Source organism: Homo sapiens, chromosome 14, assembly GCF_000001405.40.
Source record: "Homo sapiens chromosome 14, GRCh38.p14 Primary Assembly".
NCBI lineage: Eukaryota > Metazoa > Chordata > Mammalia > Primates > Hominidae > Homo > Homo sapiens.
The window spans coordinates 78,632,109-78,654,112 of record NC_000014.9 but is presented as its reverse complement, the minus strand read 5'-3'; the positions used below and the strand labels follow the sequence as shown (position 1 = coordinate 78,654,112).

The 22,004-nt window shown below is 39.4% G+C and overlaps 1 protein-coding gene across 52 annotated transcripts in view, besides 1 other annotated feature; it reads right to left on the bottom strand.

Annotated features, from left to right (window-relative positions):
- The window catches only part of NRXN3 (neurexin 3), a 1,697,919-nt gene that overhangs the window by 1,214,179 nt on the left and 461,736 nt on the right, over positions 1-22,004 (bottom strand). For 35 of the 52 annotated variants that reach the window (NR_158973.1, NR_158975.1, NR_158974.1 and 32 more), the window contains 2 exons: positions 8,692-8,993; positions 2,787-2,948 (listed from right to left, as the gene is read on the bottom strand). Coding sequence is in view for 46 of the 52 variants with exons in the window: in XM_011537366.2 (XP_011535668.1) it covers positions 2,787-2,948; positions 8,692-8,993 (464 nt within the window). In the remaining 6 variants the exon portion in view is untranslated. Of the gene's footprint in view, positions 1-2,786; positions 2,949-4,821; positions 4,846-8,691; positions 8,994-22,004 lie in introns of all 52 variants that reach the window. The other 17 variants (XR_001750609.1, XM_011537363.2, XM_011537368.2 and 14 more) reach the window with 1 other exon arrangement.
- Positions 8,940-9,109: an enhancer, noted in NCBI's record as "experimental_36943 CRE fragment used in MPRA reporter constructs". NCBI's record gives its function as "activates a minimal promoter by MPRAs in K562 erythroleukemia cells, with activity observed for the introgressed 14:79111432 variant allele {active_cell/tissue: K562}" and the evidence as "EXISTENCE:reporter gene assay evidence [ECO:0000049][PMID:34662402]".

Below are 22,004 nucleotides of genomic sequence, written 5' to 3'. Positions count from 1 at the left end.
AGAAATAATATGCCAGCACTACGTTAGACTCAAAGTGATCTGTTCAAAGTACTCAGACAAATAAGAAGACTTCCGAGTCCCTTAGAAAGACTATCACGCTGTACAGGGAAAACAGACGGGGCAGGAGTTTATCAAGTTCTAGCTTTGCCTATCATTTCCGTTAGTGTTTTGAACTTTCCTTTTTCTAACTTGGTCTGAATTTAAATGCATATTTGTGCTGCTAGCTAAGATAAGGATATATTGACATCACTGATTATAGTTATTTCTATTATTGACACTGTTTTTCAGAACTGCCTTTACCTTTTAAGCTATTCAGAATGATTCTGACAGACTTTTGAAGCTTTCTGCTCTCTATCTGGGCAGCAAAAATGTGTGTGTGTGTGTGTGTGTGTGTGTGTGTGTATTTTATTTTCTTTTGTTTCCACATGGATAAAGTCATCAGAGACACCTTTGTGTTTTTATGAGACTTGTTTCAAAATTTTCAGGGCATCCTTCCTGATTAATAGATAGAAGATTCATGGTTGGGAAATTGCTCCATTGTCTCTAAGTATATAATGGAGAGGTAGCTCAATATAATTGTGTGTAGGAGAAAATTAATCCTAAAGGCAAGACCTAAATCCTGTCCTGGAGAGACTCCATGCTCAGGACTGTTGCACTACAAAACTGAATGAGCACTCCACAGCAACCAATGCCTCATTCATTCCTGAGCCATGTCCTTGGTAACAAGAATGTTGCAGTCTTTTTCTGATGAGAGTGCAATTCCAATGTAGTGTGATTTAACAGTGTTTAAGAGTCTTTCAGGGTTCACTAGACAGTGCATAGTCTATACCTTTATTCTATCCAAATAGGAGTAAATCCCAGTGAGGAAGGGCTCTATGCCTACCATAATTCCATCAGAAATGACGATGAAATCTCTGAAGCCAGCAGAAGCCTAGGTAACATCCTGCAGAGAGATAATAGCACTCTTTGGGTGCTCCTCTTATTTTGTCCTACAGGCTGAGAACAATACAAAGCTACAATTGGATTTTCTCTCCTTTATTATGTCTCTCTTTTCTACCCCTTCCTCTCAATTCGCACATGATTTATTACAACAAGGACTGCCTCAAATGTCACTCCTTCTCTAAAACTGACTTCCACCTAAAATTTATGTTTCCTCTACTCAATTAGAGCATTTAGTATGTGCCACTGAACACATGTACTCCTATGCTATACTTATTCACTCACTGATCTCATCTCCCTTCCTACAAGGCAAAGCCTTGGAGCATGGAGATCATGGCTTAAAAAGAGCCACCAAATTTAGTTACAGCACAAAAAAGGTACTCAATGATTATCAGATAAATAGACAAACAAATCCTTATTATGCATCTACTATGTGCCATGCCTAACAGACACAATTCCTGCCTGGACAAGGCTCACAGGGCAGTGGCATGAATGAATGCATGGACAGTGCCATCTCATATACAAATGATGTTCAACAAATTTCAAATAACCATAGTAAGAATAAAACATATGCCCCAAGAGGAGACTCATAAGATGTCACAAGGGATTGTTATCTACAAGAAGGAACACTGTTTGCTTCTCAAGTAACATCCCCAGGGAGATGGTATAGATATCTTCGGCAATGAAGCTTAGCTTAAAATGTGCAGTGCACTGCTTTGATGCCACAGTGTTCTGAAAGAGCTCTACCAAATTTAGTCTGATTCTTTTTGCCTCAACAATTGACCTTAGAGGTTGAACTTACACTTGGCTGAAGCTCCTTTGCTCTCAGAAAGAGGTCTCAATACATCAGCTACAATGGTAATAAACAAGTAGTGGCAAAGTCCCACTGTTTTTTCACAGCTACTAGCTCTCAGGGAAGAAGAAGAAGCAAAGGAAAAAACCAGTCTTCTGAGCCTTAATGTCACATTATAAGAATTTTCTTCCGTCTCAACTATGAGACCCTTGGGAACACCAGGCTTAGTGAAGGTAAAATAATACATATGTTATATTTTAGACAGGGTACACAACAACAGATTGAGCCACTTTTAGCTAGAGCTTTCCTATTTGCCAGGTCAAAATCACAAAATCAAACTTTGCACTCATCTAGTTCCTTGTGATTTCAATGGCCTTTCACCTGTGTGACTGCATTTAATTTATAAACACAGCCATCTGTGGGATAAGAGCTTCCATTTGTTAGATGAGGAAATAGAACTACAGGGTACTTGACATGGTTTGGCTGTGTCCCCACCCAAATTTCATCTTGAATTGTAGCTCCCACAATTCCCACATGTCGTGGGAGGGAGCCAGTGGGAGGAAGCCAGTGGGAGGTAATTAAATCATGGGGTCAGGTCTTTCCCATGCTGTTCTCATGATAGTGAATAAGTCTCATAAGATCTGATGGTTTTATTAAAGAGGAGTTCCTCTGCACAAGTTTTTCTTCCCTGCCACCATGTAAGATGTGACTTGCTCCTCCTTGCCTTCTGCCATGATTGTGAGACCTCCCCAGATATGTGGAACTGTAAATCAATTAAACCTCTTTTCTTTATAAATTACCCAGTCTTGGGTATGTCTTTATCAGCAGCATGCAAACAGACTAATACAGTACTAAAGTGACAAACCCCAAGTCATGCAACCAGCTTAAGCGGGAATGAAAACGTAGGACACCTACTTCCAAGTTCAAGGTTGTTTCTGCTGCAATCTATCATCTCATAGATTTGAGGACAGATCCAGTCATTGATTTAGACATGTCATTTGTTTATAAATGAAACAATCACATGGTGCATTAAATAGAATTGGGTGAACTTTACCTCTTTAAGGCAGCCCATGAAGTTGTTGCTGACAGGGGAGCCAGGCAAGTCAGCGGTACTTGGGCTTCCTCCTACATAGAAGAAGTCGTCCGAGCCCAGCATGGTATAGTCCTCTTGAGTGTAGCCCGTCGTGGTAAGAATGCCATCCACAGAGATTGTCACCTGGTGGAGGGACATAGGGACAAAAAAAATCCCAACAATGACCTTACGATCCTATCATAACCCAGTGGCTTCCCCTACTTGTGGCATCACTTTCATTAAGATTTTCATGAGATATACTTTCTAATTTGATTTGATTTTGGTATGTGCAGCCAAGTTCCATTTTCTGGTCTGCCTCCCTGGGTCTCAAGCCTTCAGTATTTCCCTGCAGACTCATGGATGACTTTGTTAGAATTTCCAAGCTGGGCACCTTGTTCTACCCATTGCAATCTTTACACAGTCAGGCTAGAAAATGGAACCATCCTCAGACGATATCACTTGTCTCAGTTCATTGCTAAAATGATTGTTTATTTCTTACATGATTGTTATTCATGGTGGTAGTGAAAAACAGCAAAGAAGACATTTGATGATGAAATTTGTTAGGGGTTGGTCTTTGGTTGTTGATGGTTTTATTTTTCCTTTTTTCTTTTCTTTTCTTTTTTCTTTTCTTTTATCTTTATTGTTATTAATATTTTTTGGCTCACACCACGCTGACAAACATGCATTCAGGGAGGGAAGGAGAAGGGTCTTGATTCTGATATGGTCATGGATGATACATGCCATGGACTGCCCCAGGACACCAATCCCTACCCTCCCTTGGCTCCCATCACCACCTCCAAGAGAAGAAATGACCCAAACCAAAAAGGCAACTCTAAGAACAACAATAAAATGAATGATGAGGAATAATAACCAAAACAATAAAAATAATAATGCCCACAGAAAAGAAATAGCACCCTTTTACCCAACATCCATGAAAGGAGCAGAGGGCAGAGAGAAACGATGGGGCCTCAAAGCATGCACACACCATACACCGATACACCCATGCAGAAATTATCTGGAACCAAGAGAGAAGGCAGAAGAAAAACAAAACTGGGAAAGGGTGGGGAGAAATTAGGGAAAGAATCAAAATCCACTTCACACTTACATGCATTGAACAAACCGAAGAACAAGATGGAAGTGAAAAAAAAGCATTCAAAACTAAAAGGTAGTCTTTTCTCTGCCTGCCACCTCCCTTACTAAATAAAAGAAAAGAAAAGAAAAGAAAAAGTCCAAACCCAACCCCCAAATATATGAAAGATGAAAGGAGAATGAAGAGTGGGGAAAAATAAAAGAGAAGAAACTGAAATTGGGTTGATGATTGGTAGGTTGTTAGTAATGAGGAGGAAAATGAGGAAACAAATTCTGATGCAGGTAGGAAAATTCACGAGACAGGAACATGCCATGCAGAGTTTGTATGGAGAACATAATTGGTGGATATCCTTTTGGCCACGGTAGGGGAGTAAAGTAAAAGAAGGGTAAGAAAGAGTCTAGGAAGTGGAGTACTTTCCTCCCCAGATCACCTGTGGCAGCCGTGGCCATATAAAAGGGAAAGAGAAAAGGGACTAAGGAGTGGGAAAGGAGAAAAAAAGAAAAGAGGAAGAGTGAGAGGGAGAGGAAGGCACAGAAAGAAGGAAGTTCTCACTATAAATCTCTGTTGTCCCTAGTATGTAACTTGGAAGTTGTAAAATAAGAAAACAAAAGAAAACAAATTTAGCCAAATAGAGATTTAAAAAAAAAAAAAAAAAGCATTTTTTGGGGGAAAAAATTGAAAACTAGAGAAAAGGAAACCTTCCCCACAAAATTCAACCAAATATCATTTTTAGGACAAGTGCATCCCCTTCCATTTTTTTTTTAAGAAAAAGAAAGGCTTGCATTTAATGTAACAAAATCTTAAAAGAAGAAATGAGTCTAAAGAGGATAAAAGGGGGGGTTGGAGAGGAAAAGGGGGGCAACACACGGCAAACCCAAAAAAAGAGACAATAAGAATGATATCTACCAGACAATGTAGTTTGTTTACCATAGCGTGTCCGATGCCTGAGTGCTTTGCGGAGAAGGGGGAAGAAAGGAAATTAAAAATTGTGAACAGAACGATTGTTAATTAAAAAAACTAAAAACAAAGATGAGTCGTTAGGGTGTTAGTACATTAGTCGGTTAGTAAAATGACACATTGCATGAATGATCTTGTGTTAGTTTCTCAAAAAAAAGGCACCCGACACAGAAAAAGAGAGTGGGGGGAAGACAATGAGACCAGGACTCTATGGAAAACCATGCCACCTGGGGCACAGCCAGAAAAGGAGCTGCAGTCTACATGCCATTGCAGCTCCCTGCTTCTTCCAAATCTCTCTCAGACCACACCTCACCCGTTAGAATTAGCACCATACTTACTTCCTAAGGGCTTTCTGAATGGACACCGCCCACTCCCTTCCCACCCTCTAACACAAACCCATTCCACCTCTTCCAAAAGGAAAGACCCCCCAACAGGTACCATTCCACATGTAGAAAAACAGATACAAAGAACTGAAATACAAATATTTTGGGGTTTACTTTTTTCACATCTGACTATGACTACAATGTGGATAAATGATCATGAAATCCTCCCAAAAAGGAAAAAACTTAAAGCATTTACAGATCAAACCTAGCATAGAAAGTCTGCCTTATGTAGTGTACTCTAGGTTTCCATAGATAATTAAACATCTACAGCCTATTTCATTTTTGTGGATGTGTGCAACCAGAGAGAAACAGTTTTCCTTCAGTTTAGAATTAATAGAATGTATCAAAAAAAATTAGAATCTTCTTTATTACTCAATAAGGTCATTAATTTGTTTACTTGGCCAGAATGCTTTGGAATCTCTCTCCCCCAATTCCTCTTGAACAATGCTTTTCAAGCTTTTATGTAATTTATTGTATGGATAGCAGGGAAGACTGGCAGGTTAAACATGATTAGAAAAACCCTCTGGAAGACTGGAAGACTGGTAACCTCAGTTTTGTGTTTGTGATTTAACAAAAGTTAACACATAGAGGTAAAGCAATGAAAGTTATGGCCATGACCTTGGACTCAGGCAATGTCAAGGACCAATTACCACCCCACTACCACATACAAACACACAAATTCCTCACTACCTTGGTCCCTAATCCCAGTTATAGTTTGCAATAGATACAGGTAGTCCACATTCCTTCCTTTAATTGTAAGCCACAATAAAATACCTGGCCTTGGTCCTGACCTGGCTTAAAGGCAAAACCATGAATAGATGATCATGAAGGAAGAAATGAGGAGACTTCTGCTCCATTTGGTAATAAGTACTCCGGGAAACCCCAGGTAAACTTTACTCAATGAATTTTTGTCATAAAAGCCATTCAATCTTACCAAAAATATGAATAAGGCTGCTATAAGTTTGTTGTCAAATATTTATGGAGCTCTTTATAGTTTAATTGAAATAGACAGGAAGATCCCACCATTCAAATGTATCCCAGGGAACTCAAATAGATGTTATAAATATTATTTTAATGGACAAAATAATAATCTTATATTATTCACATTAAAATAATTGCATTTGCAAAATCAACTTTGCTTTTCAGAGATTTTCCTCTTTCAATAAATTGCATTTGGATGCAAAATTTAGTCAGAATTTCAATGAGGTTCAATTTTAGGTTCACTTTCTCACAGAAGATTAATACTCCCTCTGCCAAGAAATACCCCCAATACTGTAGGGCCTCTGTATCCCTGTCTAGAACAGAGAATTGCACTTAGCTGCATCCTTGGTGCCAGACAGATGCAGTCACCTTTGAAACAGAAAGCTCAGCCTGTAGATCATGTGCACGTCACAGCACGTCTATACCTAGACCATGGATGAGCTCATAATCCTTCTGGAACATAAGGTGCTTTGCATATTTAGCCACCACACATGGCTGCGGAAGATTGTAACCACCATTTTGCAAATGGAGACTGTGGTGGAGAAAGGTCAAATGGCTTGCCCAAGGGCACAGAGCAGAGTTGGGCCTTAGAACATGAAGGGCAGGGGCGGGAAAAACATCCAGGGTAGTTTTCCTCTAGCTGCTCTGATTAAAACAGCACAAACAATATTTGAATTACAGTTTGGTTTATCCTCTCTCCATTTAAAGGACTTAAGTGTGCCTGATACTATTTTAGAAAAGTGTTTTTAGTAGAAACAAAAGTGAGCCTTTCACAGGAGAATTGGAATCATTCCAGAATGGTAAGGAAGGGTGGTGGGAGAGAGGTAGAGAAACAAATTGGTGAGAATCATGACCTGATTGTGCTCTGAAGTACATGAAAAGTCTCTCCTCCACTGATTAATGCCTAAAGCGTGTTATTTTGTACCTGCCAATCAAAACTAGCAAAAGGTTGTATTTCACTTTTAGGTCTAGTCTCTGCAGCTCTCATGTAACAAGCCCTTATGTGTTAGCAAATGGATATTTGATTTGGGTTCTCTTGACAGTTGAGACGTTCTCTCCTGGGTAAGTATGGATGAGGAATGACGAAAGAAGATATTAGCAATAGGGTTCTTTGGCCTTGGAGGAAAAACATAGAACAATGATTCAAAAATATCAGATTCATGAATGTCAAGATGCTTGGGGACTCTAAGTCTTGTGTCATTTGGCATTTTTACCTGAGATAAATGTAATCTCCCAACAGGATGGCTTCCTTGACATACCTAAGTGTGGAAATGTGTTTCAAATGTGTGCCAGCCTATACCATTTGTTTAGTATTCGTAAGGAGTTACACTTTTATCAAACAGAAAACGTAGGCAGACACCTATCATTTCTTACGCTTTCACATTGACATTAGAAGACATTAAATCAATCATGTGGCAGAAGAAAATTTGGTAAGCACTTTTTGATAAGCACTTCAGAAAGTATAGTGTTTTCTGGTTAATAAAGCCTGGATGCCATCCAACTGGGTTTAACAACAGATTCGCAAATAGAAAAACCAAGTGAAAATGGCAACCTGGAAAAGGCGGTCTCAGCACAGACTTTGATTTTTATAGGAAACGGTTTTCTTTTACTGATGTGAGCTGATGAGGTATTATTATTGTTATCATTATTATTAGTCATGAAATTGAAAACAACTTCACTTGGCTAAGGCTTTCTGAGAATGTTGTCACCTGACGGAGGTGCCTGCTTAGAATCGGCAAGCGATGGGAGTTCCCAAGCACGGACAGAACCAGGAAAGGCTGCTCCAAAGTTGACTTTTTTATTTGGGTCCTTCCACTTTCCAGGCCTCCCAGTCAACTGAAGAGTCTCGGAGGGAGAGACAGGGGCAATAGAGTAGGACCACCGCATCAAGAACAGAGAAACAGAGGAATTCAGAAAGATCCCGGCTAATTAATTCCAAAGCTAGAGGTTAACATAAAAGAAAAAAATAGTTGGGAAAGGGTAGTAAATTAAAAGAGGAAAAGGAAGACTTTTTCTGGAAGGAATTAAAATTATGGCATCGTGGCAATGGCTAACTTAATTAAAAAGAAAAACATATATTCAAAGAATGAGGAAAATCTACGAAGCTGCAGAAACAAAATGCAGTCCCTAATTGAATTTAACAATAATACGATAAGATTCAAATGTAATTAAGAAAATGATCAAAGGAAAGCAGAATAAAAGGAATGAAAGTACTTACAACTTTTATTATCTATACAACTGAGTTGTTTTTTTTTTTCTTAAATAACAAGCACAGAGAGAGAATTGAAGTATGTGGAGAAACATATTTTAATAATTTTCCACGTGAAATTGCAAAGACTGGGAGAAAGTTAGACGTTAACATCTCCATCCCTGAATCTCCACCCCTCTCCACCTCACACCCATCACCTGCTTCACAAATTTACTACCCAGCCACCTAAGATGAGCCTTCCAGGAATTCTCTCCCCTCAGCCATTACCTGCCGGAGGTTGCGTGTCACTTTGACATCATGCCAGGCGTTGTCGTTGAATTTTCCATTCACTGGCTCCACAATGGCCTCAAAGGCCCCGGACCCCAGGTTAATGACCAAGGAGACCGCACCATCCTTCAGAGCCAGGTTGACATAGTCAGCCGACTTGCCCGTGTGCAGGATGAGGCCGTTACGCTGCCAGGTCTTAAAGGAGAGGGTGATTTCATCACTGCTGCTCTGGATCGGGTTCTGAGACAGGTCGTAGCACAGATACTCTGAGCCTCGGAAAGTGGCCACATTCTCCTCTCGAGCTATAGGAAAAGAAAAGAGGAAAGCAATCAGCACTTGTCTGGCAAGAGTCAGACCTATGCAAATACCAAAGAGAACACACCGCAGGGGCACTGCCCCGTTCTTGTGCTGATACCAACACAGCACTCCCTTCAATTCTTCTGCAAGTCCTATATCGAAACACCAGGGAAACTAGCAGCAGGGGTGACTGCAGAGAAACGACGTGTCCACACGAGGGTAGAAGACAAAACAAGATGGTGCAAAAGAGATTGCTGCCTTTCCTTCGAATTTTCTCAAGAAAAACCTAAAGGGAGGTTTCATGCAAAATGATCAAGTGAGGCTCGAGTTGCTTTTGCTTCAGGAATTGCTTTTAAATGCTTGTAGAAGAGCTGGTTTAGAATGGATAATTAACTGTTCTGACAAAGGACTCTCTAGCTCCAGGTAGCTTTTATTGACCAATAACTAAAAATAAATTACCCCGAAAGATCTGGCTGGGATTTTCATCTGTCAATAACTCAGCTAACTTTGGTTTCTATAATACAGTCCTAAGCCCCCTGGAACATGGCTGAGTTGTTAAGTAGGAGGTTGGACCTGAGCAGGTGATACAGCAGGTAAGGAGAGGGGAAGAGAATTAATTTGATATGTTTTGATAAGACAGCAATACCACTGTTAAACTCAAGACTCTCTGCTCTAGGGTATCCTGTTTTGAAGACCCTGGTTGGACTATCCTATGGCCACAGAACTAGAGTTCCACAGGGCCAGGACGGCATTCTCTTCTTCCCCACAGAACTATCCTTCCCCACAGAACTAGAGTTCCATGGGGCCAAGATCGCATTCTACTGGAGCCCATATACTCTTTCAAGACAATATTTCATAGACTGGGACCCTGTAATTGCCCACCCAAAAAGCCTTAAGCCTGTTTTTCAGGGCTTGTGCAGGCCTCTTCCCTGGATCCATCTTTCTTTTTTCTTCTTCTTCTTTTTATTTCCTTTTTTTTTTTTTTTTTTCTGAGTCTTGCTCTGTCACCAGGCTGGAGTGCAGTGGTGTGATCTCGGCTCACTGCAACCTCCGCCTCCCGGGTTCAAGCGATTCTCCTGCCTCAGCCTCCCAAGTAGCTGGGACTACAGGTGTGTGACAACACGCCCGACTAACTTTTGTATTTTTAGTAGAGACAGGGTTTCACCATGTTGGCCAGGATGGTCTCAATCTCTTGACTTTGTGATCTGCCTGCCTTGGCCTCCCAAAGTGTTAGGATTACAGGCGTGAGCCACTGCACCCAGCCCTTGATCCATCTTTCTAAAGGCAAACCATACATATTGCAAGGTCTGAGGAGTAGCCGTGGGAGACTATTTGCAGAGATGTGGATAAGGCTTCTCCATTAGGCTGGGGCAACCACATGCATTCATACCAGACCCTTCATGATATAGGACAAAGCCAAAGGTGGGAAGAGAAGGGAGTAGACCATGGGTTGAGGACTAGGGGTTGGCTGGTTCCCCTTGTGCTGCTATTTCCCAATGCAGAACTCCAAGGAATCCAAAAACTCTAAATTTGAGCCTGGCTTTCCAACTAGTTTTAAAGGTATATTTGTCAAGGTAAGAGGGTGAAATATATTTTATTTAATTATTTGTTGATTCGATCTATAATTTTGACACACAGTGTTATGACCTTCCATTTGTCTTCTTGCCAGATAGCCTTACTTAGAATGGTCTACTTCATACCAGAGTTGGTCAAAAGCTATCAAAAGCACCTCATTACTAAAAGAAAATGGCAACAATAGTTGAGGTATACAGTTTCCCTCTAAAGATTGGAGGCTACAAAATAAGGTTGAGAGAATTATATTTTCCCTGCCGGAACTACACTCCAGGCTAATTAACCAAAGCCAAGTCCACTTCAACTCAGATCTGTGTTAACCATTACAGCCCCAGGTAAATTTCTTAGGCAAAATGAATATTTTTTCATCATAAAGTAAGAGCTGTAAAAAGGAGATATTTTATAATGTGAAAAGACTTCTACCCACTACATATTGTTAAATTAATCTTAGCATTATGACATCATTAAAACATCAGCCTCAGCTTCATACTCCAGGGAGTTAAAGAAGAGATCAAGTTTCTCTTGTGTGTTCCAGAGCAGCCCAGTCATATGTATCTACCTGCATATGTCTGCTTGCACACACATTGGTATAAGCAAAAGAGACCTGTTCACCTATAAATGCTCACAGGGTAGCTTGCACATGTATAAGTAGTTAGCCCATAACTCATACTGGATTTTAGCAGAAATAGCCCCCCAAAAATAATAAAGCAGAAATTCAACACTGTCTGCGTGTTTGAAGTAGTTCTATCCACTCCCCAAATGTTCTGTCTATTGTCATGATCTCTCCCCTCATTTCTGAAGAATCGTCTTTGTTAAAATGCAATTGGACAAGGCCCTGCTCAGGAGACCTGGAGGTGACCCTGATCTAGAGTAGAAGGTGACAAATCAAATGGCGTTATCACAACTAAGCTCTTTTTCTACAGACATGGATGTCCACAAAGCCAACTACTGTGCATGTCCTTGGCACCGCAAGTGGTATATTAATGGGTGTCTTCTATAAACATTTAAGTTATACCTTGTGTGCCCACTGAACTGAGAAAAATGAGCAAGGAAAGTAGTGCCTATAAAGAGAAGCTTAAATTAATCATCCAGTACCCTTCAAAGGGGAAAAGTTTGACAGAACAGCAAGGCACCAGATATTATTTAATGTGCTACATGGTGCTTAATATTTTTTATATAATTAGAGCAAGGAGTCTGTCAAAATAATAAATTTTAGAGCTATAAGGGATTTTAGAGATGGCCTGATTTAATGCCCTTATTTTATTAAGGAAGAAATTGATGACTAGAAATAAGTGAGTTGCCTGAGACATCACAGTTAGTTTGTGGTACTCTGGGCTTGGGGCATGTCTGGTCTTTTCTTAGTCTAAATATTCATTATCTTCCCTTTGCCCATCACTCTGGATATTCCAGATGCTCCTACTTGTCTTGTCAAAGGCCACAGATGATTCCATGGAACTGTGCATTGACTGACAAACCATCCCAAACTTTGAATAAATTGAGCCAGAAACCAATTCCTCTCACCTTACATGAATCACTCATTCACCAAAAGAAATGTTTCCCTTTCAGCCCTTAGATCTGTATTTAAAGCAAAAACACTTCTTTTATGTGGGAGGCCACAGGGGAAAAAATGGCATCAGTGTAGAGAAGAGAATATCACCATAAATAAATAAGAACTAAAACCAACGTGAGGAAGAAAAGGCCTATGCAAATCACATGCATATTTATGCTAATCTCCATGCAACTATACCGAAGAAGATTTTATGTGGCCAAGTGCCTTCCTTTGCAAATATTTAACAGAAATTGCTGTAACCATTCACAACCTTCCCCATCTTTTCATCCAGTGAAGAATTTTCTCAGTTTACCTCTTCCCTGAGTCAGAGGAGGCTACCAAGATCAGCATTACCATGTTGGGATATCTCCTCCATTGGTCAACAAACAATAGACAACTGAAAGCTTCTCTCTGAATCGTATCCTACATAAGCAAATGTATATCATTTTCAAGTGATGGAATAATTTTCCCCTACATGTTATGGGGTAAGAGGCACTAGCAATGCATAACCCAGTCCTTTTCTTTTTTTCTTGAGACAGAGTCTCGCTCTGTCCCCCAGGCTGGAGTGCAGTGGCACGACCTCGACTCACTGCAAGCTCTGCCTCCCAATAACCCAGTCTTTAAAAGAGCAAATCAAGGGCTAGAAAGGAGAAGGAGAAAAAAATGAGGACCTTGAAGAAATCATTGTTTTGTCCACTTGCACAACTGACATGATTTTTCTTCTAAGACCTCCAATCTATCTTAATTTCCTTCCAGTAGCTGAGACTCAACCACTCTCTTATCACCTTGAAAACCATACTAAGTTGACAGTAAGGGTAACTAAAAGGGGCAAAACCAAATAGTGACAAACATGCATTTCTAACCTTATTCAATCCTTTGAATCCTCCATTAGAAAAAACAAAATAGCACCCAAAAATCTGTTTTTTATACTTGGTGTTTTTACTGAGAAGTAGGTTGAAGAGACAATGCAGTCACCTTGTATTTATTCAAGCTAAATAGGTGGAGAAAATGAATGCAGGGGATTATGTAATACAGTACACAACAGCTTAGCATAAAACTATAGCTTGGCAAGAGAGGAGGCACTGACATAGCTAATGGACTGTTTAGATCCATTTAAATTATATCATCCCAAAGTTTACAATCAACTGCATAAGTGTAAAAATGAAAAGTATTATTCTCACTGCATGAAAAGCAAAGCTCAACTCTGTATGACAACAAATCATTTATCCATTATTTGTAAGTGTCCAATTGATTAAACACTAGATGCAATCTAGATATGTATAACTCAAGATTTTAAATCAGTTTGTATAAGATATATGAAGTACTGATCTTTCAAATGGCTGATTAATTCAATACTGATATATACTTAGTATTAATAAGCATTTACTTAATTCTGTTCTTCACTTCTTTCCCCCTAAAAGACACCCAACTTATAATTTATATAATAATCACTCTATTTCTCTGAGAAATTCCAAAGCAGATTAAAATACTCAGTGTTATATTTTATTACTATGCAATCTAAGAAGTGTGGGGAAAATGCATGCAACTGTTTAATTAGGCCTGCCATTCCTAATGGCTTGGTGTCTTAAAAACCCAAACTGGGCTTTAAGGGCAAAAAATTTGAACTTCTATAAGTTATGGGGAACCATTGCATAATTTTACTGAGAAGGATAGAAGGATTCAACCTGTATTTTTAAGAGATTGCATAATCTTTTAGAAATACATTTGAACTACTTTTTCAGGGGTTGCCTGGAACTGGTTCAGCCTAGATGTTGATATAGTTCCTGGATATAGTGAGGTTTACACTTCACTGGGCAAGAATGTAAGCAGAAGTTCCTAGCAGAACAACCTAAGAGAGGCAGAGGCACAGCAAGCCAGAGAACACAGGAGGAAACCAAAGTGTGGATACTTAAGATCCAAATGCAATCATTGGAAAGCCAAAGACCAAAGGCAAAATTTGGCAGAAAAAGACAAAGAATTAGTCAAGAAAGGACTGAAAATGAAAACATGTCAGACATTGATAAAGAAGGATTCTAGGGCCATTTGCAAGCAGGTATTTACATGCATCTGGACGTGTCATGGATTTCCAAATGCCTTCTTAATCATTATTTGTATCCTCTCAATGTTCTGTGAGGTCATTTTACTATGATTACACCAATGTGAGGAAATAGAGACACATAGAGTTTACAGGGGTCATACAAGGTACTACGGAGTGCCATTTCCAAAACTGTAACGCTATGATTTTCATTCCATTGCTTTTCCTACTACACCATACCACTACTTTGCCAGGAACTCAGATTCCCAAAGCAGATGCCTAGCACCCTATATCTGATATTCTGCAGCTGCATGAGGTTCAACCTGTTGAAAGGTAAAACTACTGACAATGGTAGACAAGAGCCCTGGTAGGCAGCAGGAAACAAAGCAGGCAAGTAGGGGAGTAGGTTGACTTTCTTTCCAAATTCTCAACAACAAGCTGAAAAAAGCCAATCTGAGAAGATAACACTCTTTACCTCCAACAGAGAGCCTTAGAAATGGAATTTTTAGATACTTAGAAGAGCCCGTTAAAATGCTGACCCCTCTGAAGTGGCTGTAGCCAGTGGTCCTGTGAAGAACACCTGCTGAGCTCCAGAAAGGAGTGGGAGCCAGCTTCCTGATGATGAGCCTCAGAGACACAGCGAAATTGTTCTCATTGTAGCATGCAGCCTTTGTCCTTCAAATTGGTCTCGTACAGCAGCACAGTGCAGTACTTTAGTCTGTATTCATGCAAAGATAACCTGGCTGCCCATCCTGGCCTGGCCCACCTGGAAACTAATGAGGCACAAAAACACGTGGGCTACTATTGCCTTGCCTGCTAGGCAAAGAGATGGCCTGTGGTCTTGTGGCCAGCCTGTGAACTCATTTACTCTCTGTGAAGACAAACCCAGCAGGGGCTATATTGTGCCTTCTCCACCAGTGCAACTGCAATCAGAGGTTGGAGGTTCTCAAGTCGTGAACTCACAGATCACCCAATTCTGGCCAGTGCTTTCCAGGCAAAGAAGCCTCAGTAATGACAAAAGAAGTAATGGCTCCAAGGCAAAAGAGTACACAACTGCAGAAAGAAACGTCTAGGGAATAAGTCCACGATTGCACAGTTCTACTCATTCCTGGGGGATGGAGGGGCTGCATATACCCTCAGTGCTGAAAGGTATATTGAGCTAAAACAGCAATTTGAGTATTTTGCTGGCAAAAGAACAAGGCAAGTATGAGTTCGTTCCTCTACAAGTCTGTTTCCTTACTATCCAACCTGCTAAGAATCCAATATACTGAACAGGAACACCTACCTCTAAGAGCCTCTTAGGAAGCTGTGAGCAGACATCCAAGTTATCTGCTGAGCTGTGAGATGATCATATTTGCAAAAGTGAGGGGAAAGTAGAAATTCTTTTAGTGGAGTGAATTCTATTGTACACTTAATGACATTTCCTGCTAGAATTTAGGGAGGAACAGAATGATTGTGTTAAAAGGCAAAAGATTGCACAAGTGAACTGCACTCTTGGCTCTCCCTGTCTCATTTCCCTTACAATGTATTTTAGGGCCAAAGAAAGCATTAAGAGAGATCAAGCTGCAGAGCCATCCCCCAAGGACAAACAACAAAATTCTTTACCTGACACATCCCATCACACAGGTATTTTAAAAGCAGAGTGTACCAGCAGACGGGAAATTGTGTCGCCCTGAGCAATCCTGCACTACAAAAGAAAATACACAGGAAATCTGACCTCCTGAGGCCATTTCCAACCCTTATCCTCAGACTCTCCGTAGGAAAGATGCAGCAGAGAAATAAATAGACTTTTCCACACTGCCTGGGTCACTCACTAGCCTGCAGATGCTTCTTGAAAGTGATGAGAAGGAAAATAGTAAATCAACTTGTCACTTGGAAAATAAACAGCCAGCATCCTGGTGAGGGAAGCTGCCTCCGTCCACAGAAGAATGGCCTGGAAAACCACGCTTCACTGAAATCACTAGAAAGCTAATGGTATCCTAAAGACTGAATTGCTGTCAACTGCATTACAATAAAAGTTACATTTTTGTTTATTCACTTAAAAAGTAAAGATTCACAGGTGCCTACTATGCACCAGGTAATGTGTTCAGTGCTGAATGCACTTAAGTCACATGGCAACCTTGTAAGTATAAATCATTAGCTGACATTTTACAAAAAAAAGAAATTGTAAAGCTAAAAAATTTTGAATGCCTGCTATGTGCCAGGCCCTGACAACGGATTCATGTTAACAGGGCACTCTGCCTGGTTGAACAGTGGACTTACATTATGAACTGTGATGAGAAAAGCTTTCAATCAGACAGATGCGGGTTTGGCAGCCAGCTCTGAAACTTATCTAAATCTATGGAACTCTAGCTTATTACTTAACTTCTCTAACCCTTCTTTCCCTAATCTACAAAATGGGAATAACCATAGTACATATTTCATAGAGTTGCTGTGAGGCAGGAATACAATAAAGTTCTTGGCCCAGTTCCCAGCCATAGAAGTGTTAGCTATCATTGTTGTTGAGAAGGTATGCACAAGCAAATAATTACCAGTGTAGTAAGGGTTTGGTAGGTGATATAGGCACACAGAAGAGGGAATAACTGACCCTGGGCATAAGAGAAGTTTCCATACAGGAGGTCATACTTAAAATGTGTCTTGAGTTATGAATAGTTTACCTACAAAGGGAGGAATGAAATGCTAATTAGAAGAAACAGCATATCCATTGGTGTGGTCATTAGAAGAGCACAGAGTATTTAGGAGAAGGTGAAAAGTGCAAGGTGGCTAGAGCAATGGACACATGTATAGGCTCAAGATGCAGACTGGGGCCTTCTCTACATTCTTGAGCACTGGGGATGGGGAATTAGCAGAGAAGAAATTCAGCTAATGAGTGGCACAATTATACTTGTATTGTACCAGGGGTCCAGTGGGTGGACAAATGGCTAGAGAGGTGAAGAGGGAGCCAGGAGACATTCCTAAGATAGGATGGATATTGCTAAAAAATAAAAAATAAAAAAAAACACAGAACATGAGCCAATTGTTTGCCAATTGTACTGCACACAATTGTACTGCCTGTCTTCCCACTTATAATAATTTATGTAATATAGGGATCCAGGAGACATTTCTAAGATAGGACGGATATTGCTAAAAAAATAAAAAATAAAAAAAGAAATACACAACCTGGGCCAATTGTACTGCACATGCCTGTCTTCCCACTTACAATAATTTATGTAATGTACTGTATATTTTACTTTCCGTCAACCACCAGATCCATATAAGCAAAACTGTAATTATGCTTCTTTCAGTATTCGTTTCTCATTTTAATTATGGGTCAGTCAATCAAACAAGCATTGAACACAAATAGTGCACTCCGTCTTACAGAGGGGAATCCATTTTCCTGCCCCCGTGACTCCACGAGAACATTTCCTCCCCATTCCCCAGAAGAGATCATTTTGGAGTAACACTTTGACCATGTCTCCTTTATTCATTCTCCTGCAGTGATTCATCTGCTTGGTGCTGTAGTAAGGGTCTGATACCCTAGTTCTACATTTCGTAATTAGATAGTCACTATTCCCAGGTGACCTGCCTTTTACTCTATTTCTTTCTACAAGGCTTGTGAGTTCTCCTTTAGGCAGTCCCATGCAGTAATCCTTACCACAGTAAACTCTGCCCTTATGGAAGAAGGCCTGCAGTTTTCTGGCTCTTCTAACTGTTGCTGAGTAGCTGAGTTTAATTCAAAGGAAAAATTATAAAGAAGCCCAATTTTACTGCAGTAAAAGCCACATGCTCTAACTCTACCAGCAATAGAACTGATATTTGGATCCTTGACACAATTATGATTTGACTCTTATGTCTATTACACAATCAGTTCAGAAATCAGAGGGAAATGTTATGGTTGTCACCTCAGCGCTCAACAAATATTGAAATAGGCACCAAAATAAAAGTATCAGGAGAAATTCAGGATATCAAACTGGTCCTTGGGTTGCTTTCACTGTGACTGGAGGGATAATAGGCACATCTGGAGCCACATGAGTTCAATGACAAGAAAATATATCAATAATGTCAAAGCCAGCTCTAGCCTACAGTGTTTCCTAAAAATACATTTCCTGAAGTTACACAGAGTATATAAGTAATTAGGATGGTGGAGAACTTAACCAGAATTGACTTCCTATAAATAAGTTTCACATAGAATTTTGAAGTTTTTGAACAAAAAAAATTGTACAATATATACATACTCACAAACTTACATATCCTTTCACCCTTGGCCAAGACCAAAAAGAATCATCAAAAGTACTCAATAACTAAGGCGATTATACTGGAATAGCAAATGCCATGCTGTCACACTACATTCTGTGGACTTCATAAGGACAAAAATGTTAGGAGGGACACAGAGCTGGAGAGGAGAGGTCTGTGTCCCTAGTAACACTGTATATTTTTGTATAATTTTCATACAAACAAAATTAATAATAATGAAAAATATCCACAATGAATCTAGAGCCCAAAGTAGAGCATCTGAAATGTTTTTTATATACAGTAGCACACATATCAACACTAATTGCTACCAAAATTAGATACTCACTATATTCACACATACATGTTTAGAAAATAATATAGAAGTCATGAAGGTTTACAGAATTTGGGAAAACTCATACAGATATTTAGATATTTCAAAGCAATAAGTATGAATTTTTTACCATATGAACTTTAAAATGTTTATTTCTATCAAATATCTCTTTAGCCCAAGATGAAAACAAGTAAAGAATTCTCTGTAACAATTATCACCATAGTATCAGAAGAAATCTTAGAAGACAATGTAATCTACTTCCTGCCTTAATAAATCTGCAATTAGATTATATTTTTGGTAAAACTCCCCACCTTTAAGTATCTAGAGAAAACAAGACAATCAGATATTATGTGAAACTTCCTACAGATATTTTAGGAGCCAAATGCTTTCTGATCCTAAAACAGGAAAGTGGGATCTAGAGGTGGTACCAAGTTTTGCTTGGGTGATGAACAGGGAAGTATAAGGTATTAAAGAATTTTACTTAACATGTCCTTCCTTCAGCCCAGAATATATAGAGAATAATGAATATAAATGATGAGGGGCTGATAAAATTGACCCCCACTAATTTATATATATATACACATACATACACATAGCTATATAGTGATCACTAATTATTTGATACTACAGCTCTATTTGTATGTAACAAGAATAAGAAATATGTATACAGAAAATCTCCCCATCAACTTCAGGTAGTGGTTACTTTGGAGGAGGAAGAGAATAAATGGAACCAGGAAGGTATTCGAACATGACTAAGTCTTTACAAAAAGATATAAAGCAAAAATGGCAAAACATTAAGATTTGTTCAATCTGAGTGATGGGTAAAGCAATGTTTGCAATATCCTCTACTATAGGTTCTACATGTTTTATGTTTGAAATACTTCATCATTTTTTGAAAAGTTAAATCTCTGCTGCCAATAAAACGTCTAACCGCCCAATAAATCTTGAATGATTCTTTGGTTATTTGATTTATGGATGTCAACTTTTTAACCATACGCTGTGAGCAGCAATTTTTCTTGCCTTTTCAAAATCTCCTGTTTACCCAGAATTTGTTAAGTAAAGACCTGTGGAATTGAATTGAAATGAAGTTGAGTTGGTCACAGTGATTCTAAAGTTGCCAATTCCTCCTCCTGCCCCATCGTTGCTTTCCACGCTCTTTCTGGAGACCCACTGCTCCGTGCGTTGGCATCAGAGTTCAGCCTACCTTCCTAAGGGCAACAGGAGGAAATGTTGCTGGAAGCTGAGGGATATGGAAGACACGTTAATCTGTTATGATGGGGTAGTTCCACAGCAGACACAGAGAGTCAAACAAGGCTGGAGTCTGGAGTAAGTGACAGGTACATCTGCCACAAGTCTCCTAATGCTTTTCCTTTCCACAGCAGAATAAAATCATGCTAGTTCTTTAAGAAAATCCCCATTGAGAAGCCTGAATCTGTGCCCATCCTCTTAGCCTTCCCCTGCAGGGGGAGGGAGGGCAGCCCAGCTCCTCCTTTGTTAGCACTGTGGGCTCTAGCCTGCAAGTCTAGACAGAGTGGCTTGTTAAAAGGACCTGGAGTCAATGCCTGAACAAGATCAATAGGGCTTTTTATGACACAATGAAAACTTTCTATTTTGTTAAATGTGGTTAATTTACCATTTCTGCAGTACTCTTAAAGCTTTCAATGCCAAGGACAAGAGCCCAGGTGATTAAAACCCTGTTTGGAGACACAGACTGGGAAAATTTGCCAATGCGGAGGTGCAAATCCTAGAAACCTGGGCTATGTCTTCTTTTATAGCTACATATGCACTTCCTTTTCCTCCCAAAGAAGTAAATATGGCAGTGAGGAGGAGAAAGCTGATACTAATAAAAATTAAAACTGCCCCATTCCAATGCTTTCAAGAAGGGACTGCTAATTCCCAGGGTCTGAAATAATTAAATGAAAGAATCTGAATGGATAGGTGAAAGAGGATGGGATATGTTGAAGGGGAGTGGGGAGGGAGAGTTCTCTAAAATGGATGCAGACTTAAAAATCGGTGACCTGATTCAAGAAACCTAAATAAAGAAGAAAATCTTTAGTGATTGCATATTCAATTATAGTACTAATATGGTGCATAAAACTAGAAGAAAGTATTTATTTCATTTTTGTCATTTCTTCATCTCAGGCTATTACCAGTCTCTTTTTTTTTTTTTTTTTGACAGAGTCTCGCTCTGTAGCCCAGGCTGAGTGCAGTGGCGCGATCTTGGCTCACTGCAAGCTCTGCCTCCCGGGTTCATGCCATTCTCCTGCCTCAGCCTCCCGAGTAGCTAGGACTACAGGCACCCGCCACCACACCAGGCTAATTTTTTTTTTAATTTTTTATTTTTTTATATTTTTAGTAGAGATGGGGTTTCACCGTGTTAGCCAGGATGGTCTCAATCTCCTGACCTCATGATCTGCCCGTCTCGGCCTCCCAAAGTGCTGGGATTACATGCGTGAGCCACTACGCCCAGCCGACTATTACCAGTCTTTTTAAGCATCAGAAGATTTTTTATTTTTGCTATAGCATACAAAGAACAGGAAATTAACATTTATTGAACCTGTATTATGCTTCAATGAAACAAACACGATGTAAATAGCATTTGACAAGAATTAACCTGTTTTAGTGATTTAAAGTTACAAGAGTTCAAAACAACACAGAACAAATGAATTATTAATAGAGATAGCATATCTACATGCTCATATTTCATCTGAAATGAGAACTTTTTATTAGGATACTTTGTATATTTCTTATTTATCCCTCACAAAAGCCCTGTGAAATAAAGTTTTACTAGCCCATTTTTCAAATGATAAAACTAAGGCTCAGAAGGGACTAAATCCTTCTAATATTTCCAGTTGAAAGCAGATCCAAAATACAAGCCAATGTTAACCTCCAAAGACTATATGCTTTCCATTAGATCATGCTGCTTCCTATTTAGGTTTGTGTATCTTTTGCAAAGACCCCTGTCAATAATATGCCTGTGGGAGACGAGCTATTCATTTCTTTAAAAAAAAAAATACACGTTTGCATAGCATGTCACATATTCCAAACCACTTTCACATACATTATCTGATTTTTTAAAGTATAAGCACCCTTCACCAGCTGCTAAAGGAACCTGTATCTGCTCAACAAGGCTAGATTTTCAGCAAAAACTTAGAGGTATTAACCATATACTTTGGGATATAAATACGGATCATAAAACAATAGGAAAAAAATCATGGGAATTGTGTATATTCACTACACGATATAAATGCTAAAATTATCTTAATTATGAGAGCATAAATAAGGAAATCCACTTTTTTTTTTTTTTTTTTTGAGAC